Raw genomic sequence first — 4,517 nt, 5'->3', positions numbered from 1 at the left:
TACTGGGCCCTGTGGTCTTGCCTGTGGGTAGGGAGGGAGCTGAAAGGGCCCCAGGGAGGCTGGAGAGGGTTCTGGCTATGGGGGGATGTGGGTTGAGCCCCCTTACTTGACAGTCCCTGTTTGGGGATCTGGAAGGCATTAGCCAGGGGCCAAGATTGCTTATATTATTGGTAAGTATCACCCTTTCCCTTTCCCTCACTCACTTAGGATGGTGATCTGATCAAAGATGGGCTTCAGAACTTATCTTTGACAAGAATTCAAAGTGATTTTCCCCATTGCCCATTTGTATATGCCTTGTATCATTGAGACTTTAGTCTTTTGGCAAGTTTCCTTCCCATATTATTCTGAGGGTTGGGTATGGTCATGGGCTATGGAGCAGTCCGCCATCCCCCAGCCTAAAGTCATGCGTACCCAAGGACTCCTCCTAAAGCTGAGTGGATGGCAGGGGCTAACTGCTGTAAGTGTAAAAGTTAGTACTGTCACCCTGTTGTGTGCCTAGGTGGTCATCCCCTAGGGCCACCAGAGAGGGAACAAATGGATGGTGAGGTGGAAAAAAAGCTTCAGAATCCTCATTTTTTTTTTCCACCTAAGGTTTAGAAATTGTGTCCTTTCAGAGGTATCTTAAAGACAGGGTCCTCCACTGAGACCCAACATGAAAGGCTCTGGAGAAGATGAAAGCTTTCATCACTCACACCAGCCTCACACCACTGCGATGAACTCATGCCTCCCCTGAGGAGTTCTTTATCCTTCCTGCTGCCTGTGGCTTACATAAAGCTGTGGAGAAAAACTCTTAAAACTGGCATGTCATCTCAATGTAAGGCTAGAAAACACTAACAATAGAATTCTAAGCACAGGATCTGCCACAGAGATTAGATAAGACTGGGCTAGAGCTCTGGGAGTGGAGACAGGAGGCAGAAGCTGGGTTTTGGGATGGAAGAAGAGTCTTTACTGGATCCTGTGGTCTTGCCTGTGGGTAAGGAGGGAGCTGTATGGACCCCAGGGCTGCTGCAGAAGGCCCTGACTGTAAAGCCATGTGGGTTGATCCGTTCTGGCCCTAATCTTTTGGCAGTTTAGAGAACAGGGGCTAAGAGCCTAGAGTTGAGTATTTCCTGTTTTTCAGGACTGGGGCCGTCTGTAGTGGATTTGAGGCTTCTGGAGCCATGTTTGCAGATCTCTCTGGGATTCTGGGGTTTGGGAGTGGGGAAAGGGGTATCTAAATGAGGAACTAGTTTCCTTGGGCATTGAGCTTGCTAAGAGGCTTGACTGGCTTTTAACAAGTTGGGGTCACATTTGTAAGACCCAGATGCTTTAGGAAAGATCAAGTAGAGGCCCCAAATCTCAAGAAATATCTGAAGTTGATTGACCCAGATCTGTCCAGAGAAAACCAAGTGTGATTTAAAGTTAGTTAAGCTTTAGGAAACTCAGAAGAGACAGGTGGGTCCAGCTTACTTTGATGAAATCTGGATTCCATTTCTTAGATCTTGAGGCTACAAAGAGACTTGGGGAGATATATTTCAAGGTCATGTGGCAAGTTGGTGGCAGAGTCAGGTTTAGAGCTTCTGGCTCTTGGGTGATGACTAGTCCAGTGATTTTTCATCCTTGTGGAACTGTGCTACCTCTACCTCCACTTGACTCTATTATATGCCCCAAATTTGTCTTTGTCAGAACAAAACTTCTCTCTGTCTCCCTCTCTGCCTGTCTCCATCCTTTCCTTTCTCTCTCCCTTCCGTTCTTCCTTTCATTAACCTTCAAACATTTGATGCTTATCATGTGCTTGAACTATGCTATCTTTGGAAAGACAAAAATGAGTGACACACAGTCCTGCGATCTTAAGACTTTTTTTTTTGTTGGCAGAATTCTTTATTTTTCTTGAAAGCAAAGATTATTTTATCTTTGTGGCAGAATCAATATTGACTGATGATATTGATACAGAATCAATATTCACAATGATGCATACCTGCTTTGTTCTTTTATAAATTATACTTTAAGTTCTAGGGTACATGTGCACAATGTGCAGGTTTGTTACATAGGTATACATGTGCCATATTGGTTTGCTGCACCCATTAACTCGTCATTTACATTAGGTATTTCTCCTAATGCTATCCACCTATAAGTGAGAACATGTGGTATTTGGCTTTCTGTCCTTGTGATAGTTTGCTCAGAATGATGGTTGCCAGCTGCATCTATGTCCCTACAAAGGACATGAACTCACCCTTTTTATGGCTGCATAGTATTCCATGGTGTATATGTGCCACATTTTCTTAATCCAATCTATCATTGATGGACATTTGGGTTGGTTCCAAGTCTTTGCTATTGTGAATAGTGCCACAATAAACATACCTGTGCATGTGTCTTTATAGTAGCATGATTTATAATCCCTTGGATATATAACCAGTAATGGGATCTCTGGGTCAAATGGTATTTCTAGTTCTAGATCCTGGAGGAACCACCACACTGACTTCCACAATGGTTGAACTAGTTTACAGTTCCACCAACAGTGTAAAAGTGTTCCTATTTCTCCACAACCTCTCCAGCACCTGTCGTTTCCTGACTTTTTAATGATCGCCCTTCTAACTGGTGTGAGATGGTATCTCATTGTGGTTTTGATTTGCATTTCTCTGATGGCCAGTGATGATGAGCATTTTTTCTTGTGTCTGTTGGCTGCATAAATGTCTTCTTTTGAGAAGTGTCTGTTCATATCCTTTACCCACTTTTTGATGGGGTTGTTTTTTTCTTGTAAATTTGTTTAAGTTCCTTATAGATTCTGGATATTAGCCCTTTGTCAGATGGACAGATTGCAAAAATTTTCTCTCATTCTGTAGGTTGCCTGTTCACTCTGACGGTAGTTTCTTTCACTGTGCAGAAACTCTTTAGTTTAATTAGATCCCATTTGTCTATTTTGACTTTTGTTGCCATTGCTTTTGGTGTTTTAGTCATGAAGTCCTTGCCCATGCCTATGTCCTGAATGGTAATGCCTAGGTTTTCTTCTAGGGTGCTACAGTTTTAGGTCTAACATTTAAGTCTTTAATCCGTCTTGAATTAATTTTTGTACAAGGTGTAGGGAAGGGATGCATTTTCAGCTTCCTACATATGGCTAGCCAGTTTTCCCAGCACCATTTATTAAATAGGGAATCATTTCCCCATTTCTTGTTTTTGTCAGGTTTGTCAAAGATCAGATAATTGTAGATGTGTGGTGTTATTTCTGAGGCCTCTATTCTGTTCCCCTCGTTTATCTCTCTGTTTTGATAGCAGTACCATGCTGTTTTGGTTACTGTAGCCTTGTAGTATAGTTTCAAGTCAGGTAGCATGATGCCTCCAGCTTTGTTCTTTTGGCTTAGGATTGTCTTGGCAATGCGGGCTCATTTTTGGTTCCATATGAACTTTAAAGTAGTTTTTCTCAATTCTATAAAGTCATTGGTAGCTTGATGAGGATGGCATTGAATCTATAAATTACCTTGAGCAGCATGGCCATTTTCACACTATTGATTCTCCCATCCATGAGCATGGAATGTTCTTCCATTTGTTTGTGACCTCTTTTATTTCATTGAGCAGTTGTTTGTAGTTCTCCTTGAAGAGATCCTTCACATTTCTTGTAAGTTGGATTCCTAGGTGTTTTATTCACTTTGAAGCAATCATGAATGGAAGTTCACTCATGATTTGGCCCTCTGTTTGTCAGTTATTGGTGTGTAGGAATGCTTGTGATTTTTGCACATTGATTTTATATCCTGAGACTTTGCTGAAGTTGCTTATCAGCTTAAGGAGATTTTGTGCTGAGACGATGGGGTTTTCTAGATATATAATCATGTCATCTGCAAACAGGGACAATTTGACTTCCTCTTTTCCTAATTGAATACCCTTTATTTCCTTCTCCTGCCTGATTTCCCTGGCCAGAACTTCCAACACTATGTTGAATAGGAGTGGTGAGAGAGGGCATCCCTGTCTTGTGCCAGTTTTCAAAGGGAATGCTTCCAGTTTTTGCCCATTCAGTATGATATTGGCTGTGGGTTTGTCACAGATAGCTCTTATTATTTTGAGATACATTCCATCAATACCTATTTTATTGAGAGTTTTTAGCATGAAGCATTGTTGAATTTTGTCAAAGGTCTTTTCTGCATCTATTGAGATAATCATGTGGTTTTTGTCATTGGTTCTGTTTATGTGATGGATTATGTTTATTGATTTGCGTATGTTGAACCAGCCTTGCATCCCAGGGATGAAGCCAACTTAGTTGTGGTAGATAAGCTTTTTGATGTGCTGCTGGATTAGGTTTGCCAGCATTTTATTGAGGATTTTCACATTGAAGTTTATCAAGGATATTGTTCTAAAATGCTCTTTTTTTTTTGTGTCTCTGCCAGGCTTTGGTATCAGGATGATGTTGGCCTCATAAAATGAGTTAGGGAGGATTCCTTCTTTTTCTATTGATTGGAATAGTTTTAGGAGGAATGGTATCAGCTCCTCTTTGTACCTCTGGTAGAATTCAGCTGTGAATCCATCTGGTCCTGGACTTTTTTTTGGTT

The sequence above is a fragment of the Homo sapiens genome, chromosome 4, assembly GCF_000001405.40.
Source record: "Homo sapiens chromosome 4, GRCh38.p14 Primary Assembly".
In the NCBI taxonomy this organism is placed as follows: Eukaryota; Metazoa; Chordata; class Mammalia; order Primates; family Hominidae; genus Homo; species Homo sapiens.
This window is presented reverse-complemented; position numbering follows the sequence as displayed.